Source organism: Homo sapiens, chromosome 1 (assembly GCF_000001405.40).
Source record: "Homo sapiens chromosome 1, GRCh38.p14 Primary Assembly".
NCBI classification, from domain to species: Eukaryota; Metazoa; Chordata; class Mammalia; order Primates; family Hominidae; genus Homo; species Homo sapiens.
The window spans coordinates 77,892,188-77,910,554 of record NC_000001.11 but is presented as its reverse complement, the minus strand read 5'-3'; the positions used below and the strand labels follow the sequence as shown (position 1 = coordinate 77,910,554).

The following is an 18,367-nucleotide window of genomic DNA, read 5'->3' as shown; positions in this document are numbered from 1 at the left end:
GATCTCGAAGTCCTGACCTCGTGATCCGCCTGCCTTGGCCTCCCAAAATGCTGGGATTACAGGCGTTAGCCACCGAGCCCAGCCTAATAACTTATTAGTTCTATTGGCTTTTTCATAGATTCCATCAGATTTTCTACATACATAGATGATCACATCATCGGTGAGCACAGTTCTACTTTTTCCTTTCCAGTCTGGATGCCTTTCATTTCTTTTTCTGGCTTTACTGTACTAGCTAGAACCTCCAGTACAATGTTAGATAGAAGTGGTAAGAGCAGATATCTTTGTCTTGTTCCTGATCTTAGGAGAAATATGTCCAGTCTTTCACTGTTAAGTAAGATGTTAGCTGTAGGCTTTTCTTAGATGCCGTTTATCAGACTAAGTTTACTGGAGTAATTATCAGTAACAGATGTTGGATTTTATCTAATGCTTTTTCTGTGTCTATTGAGATAATCATATGGCTTTCATTTTTAATTTATTAATATTGTGAGTTACATTAACTGATTTTCAAGTGTTAAATCAACCTTAACATTCCTAGGATAATTCCCAATTGGTTATAATGCATTATCCTCTTAATATATTGCTGGAATCAATTTGATAAAATTTTGTTAAGTTTTGTATCTGTATTTATGATAAATTATTGGTTGTGTAAGTTATCTTTTCTTGTGATGTCCGCTTTTATTAACAGAGTAATATTGTCTTTATAGAATGAGTTGGGAATTATTTCTTTAGTTTTCTGGAAGAGTTCATGTAGGATTTAGTATTATTTTTTCCCTAAATATTTGCAAGAACTCCCCAGTGAAGCCATGTGGGACTGAAGTTTTCTTTATGGGAAGGAGACAATATAATGGGGGAGAGGATGGGACATGATTCCCTGTAATTATTAATAAGATCCTAACTTTTCTTGTTTAGTGGGTCTGTCGGTGCTTATGACATTATTAAAAATAAAGGAGTAAATTAAAGGAATCCATCTATACATGAGTGTGTCATGAACTAAGGTTTATGAGTAACCTAATTTTATGTGCCTGAGATAAAAATAATAAATAGCACTAGTCCTGTTGTCTTACTTGAGCCATTATATCATATCTAAAGTTACCTGTTAGATATTTTATTAATTTATTTATTTATTTATTTATTGAGATGAAGTTTTGCCCTTGTTGCCCAGGCTGGAGTGCAATGGTGTGATCTTGGCTCATTGCAACTTCTGTCTCCCGGGTTCAAGCGATTCTTCTGCCTCAGCCTCCCAAGTAGCTGGGATTACAGGCATGCCCCACTACGCCCAGCTAATTTTGTATTTTTAGTAGAGACAGGGTTTCACCATGTTGATTAGGCTGGTCTTGAACTCCTGACTTCAAGTGATCCACCCGCCTTCGCCTCCCAAAGTTTTGGGATTACAGGCATGAGCCACCATGCCTGGCCTGATATTTCTTCTTATATAACCAACAAAACCTACCCTTCATTCTCATGGCTTCTCAAACCTTGCAGTTATTTTTGATTCATTCTTCTATATCTCCTAGATTTTAATAGATTGTCAAGATTTATGAATGTTGCTTTCAAACTTCTCTTACATATTACTTCATATTTCCACGGCCTCCATACTAATACAGACCTTCAATCACCTCACATTTAGATTACCAAAATTTGGTAATCAGACCTAAATCCAAATTTCAAATCTGTTAACTGCTTAGTTAGGATTAGCTGAGAGCATTATATGAAGAACCCTGGAATAATAACTAACATTAGTAGATATCAATAACTTTGATTAATTTTATTACTATTCATCTCCCCTACTAGAATTTACTCTATTTAGGAAAAAACCTATCTTTCCCTGCCAGTGAGCATATATAATGTATTACTTACACAATTGTGGTGGCTCATGCCTGTAATCCCAGCACTTTGGGAGGTTGAGGCGGGCAGATCACCTGAGTTCAGGTGTTCGAGACCAGCCTGACCAACATGAAGAAAGCCCATCTCTACTAAAAATACAAAATTAGCCAGGAGTGGTGGCACATGCCTGTAATCCCAGCTACTCGGGAGGCTGAGGCAGGAGAATTGCTTGAACCCGGGAGGCAGAGGTTGCTGTAAGCTGAGATCGCACCATTGCACTCCAGCCTGGGCAACAAGAGCAAAACTCTGTCTCAAAAAAAAAAAAAAAAAAAAAAATAGAGGTAGGGGAGGGGTGGGGGTGGGTGCAGTGGCTCACACCTGTAATCCCAACACTTTGGGAGGCTGAGGTGGGAGAATCGCTTGAGCCCAGAGTTTGAGACCAGCTTGGGCAACATAGCGAGACTCATCTCTACTGAAAATTTAAAAATTTGCAAGTGTCATAGCACATGCTTGTAGTCCCAGCTATTTGGGACACTGAAGCAGGAAGATCGCTTGAGCCCAGGAGTTCAAGGTTGCAGTGAGCTGTGATCATGCTACTGCACTTCAGGCTGGGCAACAAAGCATGAGACTGTCTTTAAAAAAAAATAGAGACAGGGGTCTCACTCTGTTGCCCAGGCTGGTCTCGAACTCCTGGCCTCAAGTGATCCTCCCACCTCAGCTTCCCAAAGTGCTGGGATTACAGGCATGAGTAACCATGCCCGAGCCTCTCATGCAGTTTTTTTAGAGTAATACTAAAGGGTATGAGGAAAACTTGGAATCATGGGATCATAAGAACTGATAATTTTAGGTCAATTAATTGGCCAGAAGGGACTTCAAAAGGCTTTTTTTGTGTGTGTGTGAAATGAAAGAAAATTGGGTGGCTTACTGACAGTGAATAATTAATCTGTCAAGAATAGTCCTAGAAAATAAATGAATCAGCTAGACCTCTTCATTTAATTTGTAAAAAATCCTCAAATTATATCTTGACTTAATTATAGATTTAGAATAAAATAAAATTGATTTTAAAAATTTACTATGAATAAAACCACTTAAAATCGTTTTTTAAAATGTCATTTTAGTATTCTGAGCTCTCATTTTAAAACTCAGTGAAAATTTGAACAGCACTAGCCTTAACTTTTTTGGTTAAAATATAAGCAAGTGATCCTTTACTCAAAGTTTGCTCTGTTCTGCCTTTTGAGGATAAAAAGTTGTAGCAAAATAAGTTCATGACCTTTTTGTGTTATGGAATTGCACTTAAGGTGCAAATTACAAACCAATAGAACTCACATCTCTTAAATATTTTTATGTTGGAGAAAAAACTTCATAATTACGTAGACACTGTAAATACATATAAGATTCCTTTATTGTTAATTAAAAGGGAAGTATGACACTGCCTTGGTAGAAACAACAGTGCATTTCAGTTGCTAACTCATTTACCTATCTGTGTTAACACAAGGATAAAGGTGTGAATTTGACTCTGTTTGGCCTATTAACTTCACAGGAAAACTCTGTTCCCTAGTCATTAACTGTATTATCCTATCTAAACCCACTATTTCACTAATACATCCTTTAGTCACAAAACATGAATAAAATTAATGATGAAGATAATCCAAGTTAACATTTGTTAAGTCTTTACCGTGTGCCTGGTAATGTGCCAAGTAGTTAACAAGCATTGTCATTTATTTCCTACAACAACACTTCAAGGTAAATACTATTATCAAACCTTCTCTCCAAATCATTTCCCGGCCAGGTGTTATGGCTCACACTTGTTATCCAGGCTGAGTTGAGGCAGGGGAATCACTTGAGGCAGGAGTTGGGGACCAGCCTGGGCAACATAGCAAGACCCCATCTCTACAATTTAAAAAAAAATTAATCTGGGTGTGGTGGCATGTCCCTGTAGTCCCAGCTACTTGGGAGGCTGAGGCAAGAGGATCACTTGAGCCCATAAGTTCAAGGCTGCAGTGAGCTATGATTGAACCACTGCACTACACCCTGGGCAACAGAGCAAGACCCTGTCTCAAAACAGAAACCAAACAAACAAAAAACAACTTTAGAACAAATGACATATACAGGCTCAATGTTATCATAACTTTTCATAAACCCCCTCATAAAAATTCCAAACCCACATATATTTTAAATTTTAATATTAATACAAAAATAATTTGAAATCTCCCAAAATATTCTACTAGAACTTTTTGCGCTTAATAACCTTTGTATTTAATTATATCCTAATGATAATTATATAGTTAACTGTTGGTTTTTTCATGCACATTAAGAAAACATTGACGGTGGAAGAAGCACTGGAGTTAGAGCCAGAAAACTTGGATTAGAGTTTCTGTTTAGGTTAATTATTAGATATGTGATTTTGGATGAGCCAGTTAACTTCTGTGAACTTCAGTTTTATATGTAAAATGGGCCTAATAATGCTTTTCTCATTATATTGCCAAATAAAATGAACAGTTCCCTTTTTCTGAACTTCACTGCTACACTTGATACTCTCAGTCACTCCTTTCTTCCTGAAATCCTCCTTGCTTGGTTTCATAACACTATTCTCCCTCTGTTTTTTCATGTCTCTGAGCATTCCTTCTCTATGTCCTTTGAGGGCTTCTATACCTCTCTCTACCTCTTAGATGTTGTTTGCCCCCAGCTTTCAATCTTTGCCCTTTTCTTCTCATTGTCCACTTTTTCTTCTGTGATTTAATACACTTTAGTAGATTAAATTACTTCTGTAGCCTCATCTCTTTTTACCCCTCCCTCCCACTCTATCACCCATACTGTAATACTGGCACAACTCAAGCCTTTGCAGAGCTGGCTCCCTCAGCTTTATGCTATTCTCATTCCCTTATCACTCAGCTAACTCCTACTCATCCTTTAATTCTTGAATTGTCACTTTCTCCAGGAAGCCTTCCTTGATTCCACAAGACTAGGTTAAGTGCTTCTCCTGTTTGCTTACACAGCATCCCATGGTTACCCTAATTGTAGCACTGACCACAATGTACAGTAATGACCCACCTTCCTGAAAACCTCCTCGACCAGAAGGTGAGGTCTTTGAGAGTAGTGACTGTGTTTTGTACACCATTATATCCATAGCACCTCCTGCCTCAGCGTCCTGAGTGGTACTACAGGCTTGCACCACCATACCCAGCTAAGTTTTGAATTTTTTTGTCGAGACAGGGTCTCACTATGTTGCCCAGGCTAGTCTTTAACTTCTGGGCCCAAGTGATCCTCCCACCTTAGCCTCCCAAAGTGCTGGGATTACAAGCATGAGCCACCATGCCCAGCCCTGAACAAGTAAATCTTGCCAGCTTCAAGGTGAATCACTTTATGAACAGATAAAGATTATCTGGATATAAGGCATGACTATCATTATGATTATCATTATGCAGGGATATTGTATAAATACAACATGCCACTTATATTAATTTTTTTTTTTGAGACGGAGTCTCACTCCACTGCCCAGGCTGGGCAATGGCGCAATCTCTGCTCACTGCAACCTCTGCCTCCCGGGTTCAAGCGATTCTCCTGCCTCAGCATCCTGAGTAGCTAGGACTACAAGCACGCACCACCACACCCAGCTAATTTTTGTATTTTTAGTAGAGACAGGGTTTCACCATGTTGGCAAGGATGGTCTCTATCTCTTGACCTCGTGATCCGCCCACCTTGGCCTCCCAAAGTGTTAGGATTAAAGGCGTGAGCCACCATGCCTGGCCCATAAGTATTTATTAAGCATCTACTATGCCAGGCACTCTACTGGGCACTGAGAAATATAACACTGAACACACAGACATGGTCTCTATTCTCATGCTATTAACAGTCTCTTTGCAACAACTCTCAACAAAAGCCTTGGAACCGGATTTTTAAGTGGTCCAGCCTGATTTGCTATTTGCAAACACAGGTAAGGTTCTAACATCAACCATGCCTACTATAGAATTGAAAGGCAGTATACACTATTCCCCAACTTCCAGTTAGATGACTAAGATCAATGATTTCCATTCTCAGTCCATATTTTGCACTTCTCTTACTCCCTGATTTTCCTCTGTACGCATGGTAGACTCTACGCTCCCTTCCCAGATTGCAGGGGATCAGTTGCTTTCCAGTATCTTGTTCAATTAAATTATAATTTAAAATAACCCCCAAAAGCTATCACATAAAGCTTTTCAATATTCACGCAAAAACTAGCAAGTTTGAAAGATCCTCTGTTCCTTTGATTCAACTTTTCATTCTCTTAACAAACTGTCTATACTATATTTTAAAGAAGTCTTCTGTTGAACATTTATAGCAGATTATTAGTCTTTTAGAAACATATTCTCAAATGCCAAATATCATACATTAAATATATACAGCTTTTGGTATGTCAATCATATGTTAATAAGGTGGTTTTTTAAAAAATTCCAAATATCACCAGGAACAGTGGCTCATGCCTGTAATCCCAGCATTTTGGGAGGCTAAGGCGGGCGGATCACTTGAGGTCAGGAGTTTGAGACCAGCCTGGCCAACATGGTGAAACACCATCCCTACTAAAAATACAAAAATTAGCTGGGTGTGGTGCCAGATACCTGTTATGTCAGCTACTAGGAAGGCTGAGGCAGGAGAATCCCTTGAACCTGGGAGGCAGAGGTCGCAGTGAGCCAGGATTGCACCACTGCATTCCAGCTTGGGTGACAGAGTAAGACTCTGTCACAAAAAAATAAAAATAAAAACTAAAAATTTCAAATATCAATTTAATCTTTGACTTATTTTATCATCTCCTCCCACTTCCTTTCTTTCTTGACAGGATCTCACTCTGTCGCCCAGGCTGGAGAGAAGTGGTGCAATCACAGCTCACAGTAGCTTCGACCTCCTGGGCTCAAGCAATCCTCCCACCTCAGCCTCCTGAGTAGCTGAAACTACAGGCACACACCATCACACACAGCTAATTTCTGTATTTTTTGTAGAAACAGGGTTTCATCATATTGCCCATGGCTTGTCAGTCTTCCCAGTTTCGTGCTTATATATATTAATAGTCAACATTTCAGTTACCAGTCTATAAACTTAATTTTGCTGCTTTATTTAGCAAAAGGCCCCAGCTGCTCCTTCAATTTCATATAATTATGCTTGCCAGAAATTATTTCTATTTAGTCTTCATATGTATCACTATAATTTTCATTAATAAACTTACAAAATGAGAAGCTATAAAATTCAAAGTATTCACTTTACTGGTTTTCTTTTCTTCGGAATCCTGATAAACATTTTCAAATTATTCAATCTTTTCAATAGGTGCCGGAATCCAAGTGTAATGACATAGTTAACTTCAGTTGCTATAGGGCAGCTACTTTAATGTAGTTTCTTCAGAACTCTTAACTGATACATATTGTATTAGAATAGAATAATAATTTAAGTATACATTATTGGTAAAAAAAATAGGTTTTAAAAGTTCCAGAAGAACTTCTAGCCATGATTGTTCTGATTTCTCTCTTTTTTTTTTTTCATTTCTTATGATAGGATAACAGCCCACCATTCTTTCTGCCCTCAACCAGGCCCACTAGGTTCTCTACTCAACTACTGCCATCTCTACCTCTCTGTGCTCTAGTGTATCACTCTAACTCTGAGGATGTTAACTGTGTAGTGCATCATGGATCAGAACTAAAATTCTCACCTGGGCTTGACAGGCCTTCTGCAGACCCTCAGACTCTTCAGTTTCCTTTGTCTTCTCTCCATTTTTTCAACCTTCCAGCTAGACAAATCTATTTAGTAGCCTTTTTCTACCTCCAAGACCTTTCTTAAGTCACTTCTTTACCAAGGAGGTATTTTCCCAAACTAATTATAATGGAAATGGTGATTTTTCTCCACTTCATCTTAAACATGGTTGTTTTTTCTCCTTCAGTCTCTGAGACCTCTAAATATGCTTAGATTTCTAGGTGTATCTGGCATAAACTTTAAACATTTTTATATTGGTAAACATCTCAGACATATCAGTCTAATCTATCTTTTTTGTTTACTTTTTTATTATGGAAAATTTCAGGCATACAAACTGAAAGAGACTAATACAATGAACCCCCATACACCCATATCAAGCTTCAACAATTATCAGCTTTTTCCACTGTATTAGGCAATACAAAGTCTGTTTCATTTATTTTGTGCAACACCTATTTCAGCATAACACATCTTTATAGATGTTTTAAATAATATTCTACCTGTACTCACCATATCCTAGGCTCTATGTAGTACATCCTCCTATCCTCTCAGAATATGAACAGAATCAAAACCTATAATTCTTGCCTTTTATTCTCTTTTGGGAAAACTTTAACCACTCAAAGAAAATTGGTAAACTTTCATTTGATGAAGTCATTAATAAAGTAATGAAAAGTTACATGTACAAATAAAATTTAAGGATTTTTTTAAAACTGCAGTACGTTAAAGGAAAGTTCTGAAACCTCTAAACCAAATAAAGGAGGAGAAAATAACAAATTGAATACCTATTGTGTACCATAAACTAGGTGATTTTCATATGCTTTATAAATTTAGAGTGATGAGTATGACAGAACTAAGAATAAACAGAAAAAGATAAATTAGTGAACATTGATGTTTTTTCAAGAAACATTTATTGAACATTTTTCTATAATGTGCTAGGTACAGTATATAGGCTACTACATAAATAATAACGAATAGGATAAAATATCTGTTATGGAGTTTATGGTCTAGATGAGATAAAATATAACTATCAAAAATATAATAAGGCTTACATTTTTAGATTAGAAAAGGCTTTATTTAGGTAACATCTGAAAGTGTGTAAACACACATAAAAATTAGCTTTAGCTGGGTGCATTCCTGTAGTCCCAGCTTAGTTAGCGAGGACTGAGGTAGAAAGATCGTTTGATCCCAGGAGTTTGAATCTGGTTTGGGCAACATAGTGAGACACCATCTCTAAATAAAATAATAAGATCTGTGATGTTAAAGAAAATCCCCCCACAAAAAGAAAGGCTATGTATTATAAAGTGGGTCTCAAACTTTTGGGGCTCAGGACCTAAAGTCTGGGCCCATTATTGAGGATCCTAAGGTGGTTCTTGGCCACCTTAAAGGGGCAGCCACAACACAACAATTCGGCTCCATTGCACCTTGTAAGTATCTAAGATCCCCGGCAAGTCCATTGAATTCTTATGAAGAATAAGATGAGAGAGAAAACAGTGACCAAAAGATAAGGTTGAACATGTGGTTCTAAGAGTTTGGTTATAATAGAGGTTTTGTTTATATGGATAATAACAATAGGTCTTTAATATATTAGAAATTAAAACAAAATATTCTAATATGTACTTATAAAGTCATTTAAAGTAACAATAACAAACCATTATTTATAAACATAAAAATAATTAGTAAGAAGAGGAAAATAATTTTACATTTTTGCTAATCTCTGGTATCTGGCTTAATAGAGGAAAAATACATTCTCATATCTGCTTCTGCATTCAAACTACGGTGATGTTGTTTTGATTGAAGTCTCTAAGAAAATATGACCTTATACTAATATGTAGTTGGAAAAGGAAGGACTTTATGGACCCCTAAATGGTACTGAGGACTCCCAGGGGTTCTAAGACCACATTTTGAGATTTGCTGAGTTACAGGAAAAACATCCTAATTGAGTCATATCAAGTTCTCATTCTAGAAATGTATTTTAGAATGCTAAATGGAGATTGGCTTAACAACTTAATTCCTATACTCAGTGACCTGAATGCCAAGAGACTTTGTATCTGGAATCTTAACAGGCTTTTCTTCTTCTAGCGTTAAGTGATTTTTCTTGTTTGAGTAGGCAGATGCAATGTCCTTGGCCACCTTAAAGGGGCAGCAGCAACCCAACAATTCAGCTCCATTACACCTATGTATCTAAAATCCCAGGCAAGTCAATTGAATCGTTATCAAGAATACGATTAGAAAGAAACCAGTGATCAAAAGATAAGATGGAACAGGTGGTTCTAAGAGTTTGGTCATAATAGAGAAGGCTGGGATGATAAAGAGATTTAGTAATGGCATTCTAACACATTAAGCATTCATGTTAAATGAAGACGAATATGTATCCACCGCAGGTTTCAGAGGTAATATTGCAATATTAGTATAACCCATACACAATTTATCAAAAAAGCTGCATTTTTTCAAATTTGACAGATGAGGTCTGTATTTACAATACATTATTTTTGTGAAAAGGAGAATCTGCTGTATGCCAAAAAGTATGCCTGGCAATGGGATACGAAACAAATAAGAGCTAGCCCTTGTGAATCAAATAGCTTTGGTGACAGAAATAGATGTACTAATTATTATATGATGTAGTAAATGCTATAATACCAGTATTATAACCAGGCTATAGAAACATGGAAAAGACTATGGTATGGTTAAGGAAGAGGCTGGGTTAAAGAAGGTTTCACGGAGACAATGACATTTGAGTTAGACCTTGACAGATAAGTAGAATTTCACAAAGTGGAAAAGATTGTAAAGGCATCCAGGAAAAAGAACCAGAATGAACAAAAATACCAATGCCTGGTGACCCATTGCAAATCTGGGGAGCTATAAAATTGTCCAGTCAGTCTATGGCAAAACTAGAAGGACAGGCTGGGCACAGACTAGAATGAATACTGTGCACCATATTAATAAAAAGTTCAGATATTACCTAATAATACTATAGGCAATAGAGAGCCAGCAAACGAGCATGACTGAAAGATGTATCCTAGAAAGAAAAGAAAAAGAAACTCATAGCAATGTAGAGAATGGAGTTTAATGGGGAAAGACTAGTGGAAGGAGGACAAGTACAATGACCTTGGTAAGAGAAGATAAGGGCCTGAATTAGGACATTAGCATTAGGAATGAAAAGCTGGAAGAGACATTTTGGAAGTGGAATTGACAGGACATGGTGACTCATTATTTATTTAACAAATATTTCTTACGCTCCTACTTTGTGTCAGGCGCTATCCTAAGCTTGGGGAGATGAAAGGGAACAAAAAGTCAAAGTCCCTGTCTTGATTAAATTTTTTTGTTTGTTTTTTGTTTTTTTATTTTTTATTTTTTTATTTTATTATTATTATATTTTAAGTTTTAATGTGCACAATGTGCAAGTTTGTTACATATGTATACATGTGCCATGTTGGTGTGCTGCACCCATTAACTCGTCATTTAGCATTAGGTATATCTCCAAATGCTATCCCTCCCCTCTCCCCGCATCCCGCAACCGTCCCCGGAGTGTGATGTTCCCCTTTCTGTGTCCATGTGTTCTCATTGTTCAATTCCCACCTATGAGTGAGAACATGCGGTGTTTGGTTTTTTGTCCTTGCGATAGTTTGCTGAGAATGATGGTTTCCAGTTTCATCCATGTCCCTACAAAGGACATGAACTCATCATTTTTTATGGCTGCATAGTATTCCATGGTGTATATGTGCCACATTTTCTTAATCCAGTCTATCATTGTTGGACATTTGGGTTGGTTCCAAGTCTTTGCTATTGTGAATAGTGTCGCAATAAACATACGTGTGCATGTGTCTTTATAGCAGCATGATTTATAGTCCTTTGGGTATATACCCAGTAATGGGATGGCTGGGTCAAATGGTATTTCTAGTTCTAGATCCCTGAGGAATCACCACACTGACTTCCACAATAGTTGAACTAGTTTACAGTCCCACCAACAGTGTAAAAGTGTTCCTATTTCTCCACCTCCTCTCCAGCACCTGTTATTTCCTGACTTATTAATGATCGCCATTCTAACTGGTGTGAGATGGTATCTCATTGTGGTTTTGATTTTCATTTCTCTGATGGCCAGTGATGATGAGCATTTTTTCATGTGTTTTTTGGCTGCATAAATGTCTTCTTTTGAGAAGTGTCTGTTCATAACCTTTGCCCACTTTTTGATGGGGTTGTTTTTTTCTTGTAAATTTGTTTGAGTTCATTGTAGATTCTGGATATTAGCCCTTTGTCAGATGAGTAGGTTGCGAAAATTTTCTCCCATTTTGTAGGTTGCCTATTCACTCTGATGGTAGTTTCTTTTTCTGTGCAGAAGCTCTTTAGTTTAATTAGATTCCATTTGTCAATTTTGGCTTTTGTTGCCATTGCTTTTGGTGTTTTAGACATGAAGTCCTTGCCCATGCCTGTGTCCTGAATGGTATTGCCTAGGTTTTCTTCTAGGGTTTTTATGCTTTTAGGTCTAACATTTAAGTATTTAATCCATCTTGAATTAATTTTTCTACAAGGTATAAGGAAGGGATCCAGTTTCAGCTTTCTACATATGGCTAGCCAGTTTTCCCAGCACCATTTATTAAATAGGGAATCCTTTCCCCATTGCTTGTTTTTCTCAGGTTTGTCAAAGATCAGATAGTTGTAGATATGTGGCATTATTTCTGAGGGCTCTGTCCTGTTCCATTGATCTATATCTCTGTTTTGGTACCAGTACCGTGCTGTTTTGGTTACTGTAGCCTTGTAGTATAGTTTGAAGTCAGGTAGCGTGATGCCTCCAGCTTTGTTCTTTTGGCTTAGGATTGGCTTGGTGATGCGGGTTCTTTTTTGGTTCCATATGAACTTTAAAGTAGTTTTTTCCAATTCCGTGAAGAAAGTCATTGGTAGCTTGATGGGGATGGCATTGAATCTATAAATTACCTTGGGCAGTATGGCCATTTTCATGATATTGATTCTTCCTATGCATGAGCATGGAATGTTCTTCCATTTGTTTGTATCCTCTTTTATTTCATTGAGCAGTGGTTTGTAGTTCTCCTTGAAGAGGTCCTTCACTTCCCTTGTAAGTTGGATTCCTAGGTATTTTATTCTCTTTGAAGCAATTGTGAATGGGAGTTCACTCATGATTTGGCTCTCTGTTTGTCTGTTATTGGTGTATAAGAATGCTTGTGATTTTTGCACATTGATTTTGTATCCTGAGACTTTGCTGAAGTTGCTTATCAGCTTAAGGAGATTTTGGGCTGAGACAGTGGGGTTTTCTACATATACAATCATGTCATCTGCAAACAGGGACAATTTGACTTTCTCTTTTCCTAATTGAATACCCTTTATTTCCTTCTCCTGCCTAATTGCCCTGGCCAGAACTTCCAACACTATGTTGAATAGGAGTGGTGAGAGAGGGCATCCCTGTCTTGTGCCAGTTTTCAAAGGGAATGCTTCCAGTTTTTGTCCATTCAGTATGATATTGGCTGTGGGTTTGTCATAGATAGCTCTTATTATTTTGAGATACATCCCATCAATACCTAATTTATTGAGAGTTTTTAGCATGAAGCATTGTTGAATTTTGTCAAAGGCCTTTTCTGCATCTATTGAAATAATCATGTGGTTTTTGTCTTTGGTTCTGTTTATATGCTGGATTACATTTATTGATTTGCGTATATTGAACCAGCCTCACATCCCAGGGATGAAGCCCACTTGATCATGGTGGATAAGCTTTTTGATGTGCTGCTGGATTCAGTTTGCCAGTATTTTATTGAGGATTTTTGCATCAATGTTCATCAAGGATATTGGTCTAAAATTCTCTTTTTTGGTTGTGTCTCTGCCAGGCTTTGGTATCAGGATGATGCTGGCCTCATAAAATGAGTTAGAGAGGAGTCCCTCTTTTCCTATTGATTGGAATAGTTTCAGAAGGAATGGTACCAGCTCTTCTTTGTACCTCGGTAGAATTCGGCTGTGAATCCATCTGGTCCTGGACTTTTTTTGGTTGGTAAGCTATTGATTATTGCCACAACTTCAGAGCCTGTTATTGGTCTATTCAGAGATTCAACTTCTTCCTGGTTTAGTCTTGGGAGGGTGTATGTGTTGAGGAATTTATCCATTTCTTCTAGATTTTCTAGTTTATTTGCGTAGAGGTGTTTGTAGTATTCTCTGATGGTAGTTTGTATTTCTGTGGGATCGGTGGTGATATCCCCTTTATCATTTTTTATTGCATCTATTTGATTCTTCTCTCTTTTCTAAATTTTTTTTTTTTTAATTAGACAGAGTCTTGCTCTGTCACCCAGGCTGGAGTGCAGTGGTGCAATCTCAGCTCACTGCAACCTCTGCCTCCCAGGTTCAAGCAGTTCTGTGCCTCAGCCTCCCGAGTAGCTGGGATTACAACTGTCTGCCACCACACTCAGCTAATTTTTGTATTTTTAGTAGGGATGGGGTTTCACCATATTGGCCAGGCTGGCCTTGAACTCCTGAGCTCCACCCGCCTCGGGCTCCCAAAGTGCTGGGATTACAGGTGTGAGCCACCATGCCCAGCCTTCTTGATGGAACTTACACTGTAGTGGGGCACAATTGCAAGAGGTTTGGCCAATTTGATTTGGAGGGGTAGAGGTGAGGAGAGGAATATTGTCAAGAATGAACCCAAGCAAGAGTCAGAGGATGAGAAATAAACAAACAAACAAGTAAATAAAAAAGGATGAACCCAAGGTTTCTAGTTTGAGCAAATGGGTGAACAGGGTTACCATTAACTGGAGATTAAATTAAAAGGCATGTTTAAGTCAGAAAATGAGCTCAGTTTCTGAGTCACTGTGCTTGGCCGACAACTTATTTATTTATTTATTTATTTATTTATTGAGACAAAGTCTCACTGTGTCACCCAAGCTGGAGAGCAGTGGTGTCATTTCTGCTCACTGCAACCTTTGCCTCCTGGGTTCAAGCAATTCTCCTGCCTCAGCCTCCCGAATAGCTGGGATTACAGGCACATGCAACCACACCTGGCTAATTTTTTTTAGTACAGACAGGGTTTCACCATGTTGGCCAAGCTGGTCTCCAACTCCTGACCTCAAGTGATCTGCTCACCTAAGCCTACCAAAGTGCTGGGATTACAGATGTGAGCCACTGTGCCCAACCAGGCTGTCAACTTTTAAGATTTCTTTTTTGAGATGGAGTCTTGCTCTGTCGCCCAGGCTGGAGTGCAATGGCACTATCTCAGCTCACTGCAACCTCCACCTCCCAGGTTCAAGTGATTCTCATGCCTCAGCCTCCTAAGTAGCTGGGATTACAGGTGTGCACTACCACACCCGGCTAATTTTTGTATTTTTTAGCAGAGATGGGGTTTCACCATGTTGACCAGACTGATCTCTAACTCCTGGCCTCAAGAGATCCGCCTGCCTTGCACCCCCAAAGTGCTGGAATTACAGGCGTGAGCCACAGTGCCCAGCCAACTTTTAAGAAGATTTTAAACGTAATACTTAACTATATGCTACAAGTAAATGTTGAAACCTAATTCTTACAGTCTTTGGAACAAGCAACAAAATTGTTTTGAGCTTCATAAAATATGAGCCTAAATTTTTATCATTTTTCACTTGTACAGGAAACATAAACTTAGGTATAATGTAACTTTATTGCATTTAATTAATGAAGGTTGCAACCTTATACTTTAAAAATTACACTATAGGTGACCGGGCGCGGTGGCTCATGCCTGTAATCCCAGCACTTTCAGAGGCCAAGGCGGGCGGATCAAGAGGTCAGGAGATCGAGACCATCCTGGCTAACACGGCGAAACCCCATCTCTACTAAAAATACAAAAAAATTAGCCAATCATGGTGGCGGGTGCCTGTAGTCCCAGCTACTCGGGAGGCTGAGGCAGGAGAATGGTGTGAATCTGGGAGGCGGAGTTTGCAGTGAGCTGAGATTGTGCCACTGCACTCCAGCCTAGGCAACAGAATGAGACTCCATCTCAAAAAAAAAAAAAAAAAAAAAAAAAAAAAAAAATTACACTATAGGCTGGCCATGGATGGTGGCTCACGCCTGTAATCCTAGCACTTTGGGAGGCTGAGGCAGGTGGATTGCCCGAGCTAAGGAGTTCGAGACCAGCCTGGCCAACATGGTGAAACTCCATCTCTACTAAAATACAAAAAATTAGCCAGGCATGGTGGTGTGCGCCTGTAGTCCCAGCTACTTGGTAGGCTGAGGCAGGAGAATTGCTAGAACCCGGGAGGTGGAGGTTGCAGTTAGCCGGGATCAGGCCACTGCACTCCAGCCTGGGCTACAGAGCAAGACTCCATCTCTAAAAAAAAGGAAAAAAAAGTATACTATAGGCTGGGTGCATTGGTTCATGCCTGTAATCCCAGCACTTTAGGAGGGTGAGGCCTGGGCAACATGGTAAAACCCCATCTCTACAAAAAACAGAAAAATTAGCCAGGTGTGGTGGTGCACACATGTAGTCCCAGCTACTCGGAAGGCTGAGGCGGGAGGACTGCTTGAAGCTGGGACATAGAGACTGCAGTGAACCCTGATCACGCCACTGCACTCTAGCCTGGGTGAAAGATCGAGACCCTGTCTCCAAAAAATAATAATAATGAAATAAAAATGATACTATAAAATGTCCAAAAAATAATAATGAAGTAAAAATGATACTATAAAACCTGTCATAAACCTCATTGCAATTCAAAAATATGAAATTAGATCCTATTTCACCTATACGAAGTAGTGATCTATTTCCCTCCTACCAATACACAATTCCTCACCGAAAACCAAGAATCTTATGCCAGGTGCAGTGGCTCACACCTGTAATCCTAGCACTTTGGGAGGCCGAGGCAGGTGGATCACCTGAGGTCAGGAGTTCGAGACCAGCCTGGCCAACATGGTGAAATCTCGTCTCTACTAAAAATACAAAAAGGCCAGGTGCGGTGGCGCATGCTTGTAACCCTAGCACTTTGGGAGGCCAACGTGGGCAGATCACGAGGTCAGGAGTTCGAGACCAGCCTGGCCAGCATGGTGAAACCCCATCTCTACTAAAAATACAAATTAGCCAGGCGTGGTGGCGAATGGCTATAATCCCAGCTACTCGGGAGGCTGAGGCAAGAGAATCACTTGAACCCAGGGGGTGGAGATTGCACTAAGACGAGATGGTGCCACTTCAGCCTGGGCAAAAGAGCAAAATTCTGTCTAAAAAAAAAAAAAGAAAGAAAGAAAATCAAGAATCTTTTGAATCTTTCAACCTGCCTTGATATCCTTCCGCAATAAGTATAAATAACACTTTGCCCTTATATGACAGTATGTGATACTTTTCGAAGTATATCCACCAAACTATGAGCCCCTGAAAGGTAAGAACTGCTCTATTCCTCTCTATAGTTTTAGTGTTTCGCACAACACCTAGGACATAGTACAAGCTCTATTCGTATTTGAGCTAGTGAATGAATGACAAAGAGATAACAGGAAAACTGTCTGATCCAAAATCATCCCAAATAAGACACATGATTCTTATCTACAAAAGGAAGACTGATGATCTAGATGCACTAACTAAAATAATAAAAAATAAAATGGGGTGAATTTATGCTAAACTAAATACCATGAACAACCAGAAACCTGAGGCTTCAGGAGTTCTGTTCCCAAGCAAATTGATGTGGTAATCACTGGAGTCTGGGCCTCCTCACCATCTCTGCAAGCGGAAGATGATCTTTCATTGAAGGACACAGCTGGGAATAGGAAGACCTGGATCTCTGGCTCCAAACATGTCAGTGGAATGGGGAGGCAAAAGAAAAACAGTAAACTCCTCTTTATAGCCAAGCTGTAGGAGTCACAAAAACTCTCCTAAACACTTCTCAAATGGACAGGGAGTAGAATTTTTAAGGAGGCCAGGCATAGTGGCTCACACCTGTAATCCCAGCACTTTGGGAGGCCGAGACAAGAGGATTGCTTGAGACCATGAGTTTGAGACAAGCCTAGGCAACATAGTGAGGCTCTATCTCTACAAAAAATTAAAAAATCAGCCAGGCATGGTGGTGCATGTCTGTAGTCCTAGCTACTCAGGAGGCTGAGGTAGGAGGATCACTTGAGCCCAGGAGATAGAGGCTGCAGTGAGCCAAGATCATGCCACTGCACTCTAGCCTGGGTGACAAAGCAAGACTCCGTCTCAAAAAAAAAAAAAAAAGATTATTTACAAGATCCTAGGAAATACTTCCTTAGCAGAAATATCTTCCCCATGCTTTCTAAAATCCCACCAGGGAAAGTATTTTATTTGTTTTGGTTAGCAATATATGGTCCCTTCCAGCTCTAATCGACACTAACAATTAGTGTCAATGAATGCTAATCTCTTCTCCCACTCCCATGATCACATTATTTAAGAGGTTTGCTAACCAAAATATATCTACAATGTTTAAAGTCCCAGTTCCTGTTGCTAAGTACAGCAGACTTTCCATCATATGATGCATCAGATATACTTGCCCTAATACTTAGATCGGGGACTGCATACTCAAGTATTCAGGGTCAGGTAATGTAAATGTAATGTAAGGTAATGTTATGTAATATAATTGACAGGTAATGTAAATGAGTGTATGACTTGTTTAAAACAATAGGGAATCTCAGAGACTATGTCAAATGCAGAGCATGTGACCTGCCTGTCTGTGGGGCAGCCACTATTTAGTTCCAGTATATTGTTCCTGTGCAAAAATGTTAACCTTTGGGTACAATGTACACTATTTGGGTGACAGGTACACTAAAAACCCAGACAGACTTCACCATTTTACAATTCATCCATGTAACCAAAAACCACTTGGTACCCCTAAAGCTACTGAAATAAAAATAATTTCTTTAAAAAAGTGAACCCAGATTT

At 39.0% G+C, this 18,367-nt stretch overlaps 1 protein-coding gene across 7 annotated transcripts in view, besides 1 other annotated feature; it reads right to left on the bottom strand.

Annotated features, from left to right (window-relative positions):
* The window catches only part of NEXN (nexilin F-actin binding protein), a 55,272-nt gene that overhangs the window by 33,341 nt on the left and 3,564 nt on the right, over positions 1–18,367 (bottom strand). The window lies entirely within an intron of this gene.
* Positions 1,109–1,262: a silencer, noted in NCBI's record as "fragment chr1:78374978-78375131 (GRCh37/hg19 assembly coordinates)". NCBI's record gives its function as "represses an EF-1alpha promoter that drives an FKBP-Casp9 reporter gene in an ReSE screen in K562 erythroleukemia cells {active_cell/tissue: K562}" and the evidence as "EXISTENCE:reporter gene assay evidence [ECO:0000049][PMID:32094911]".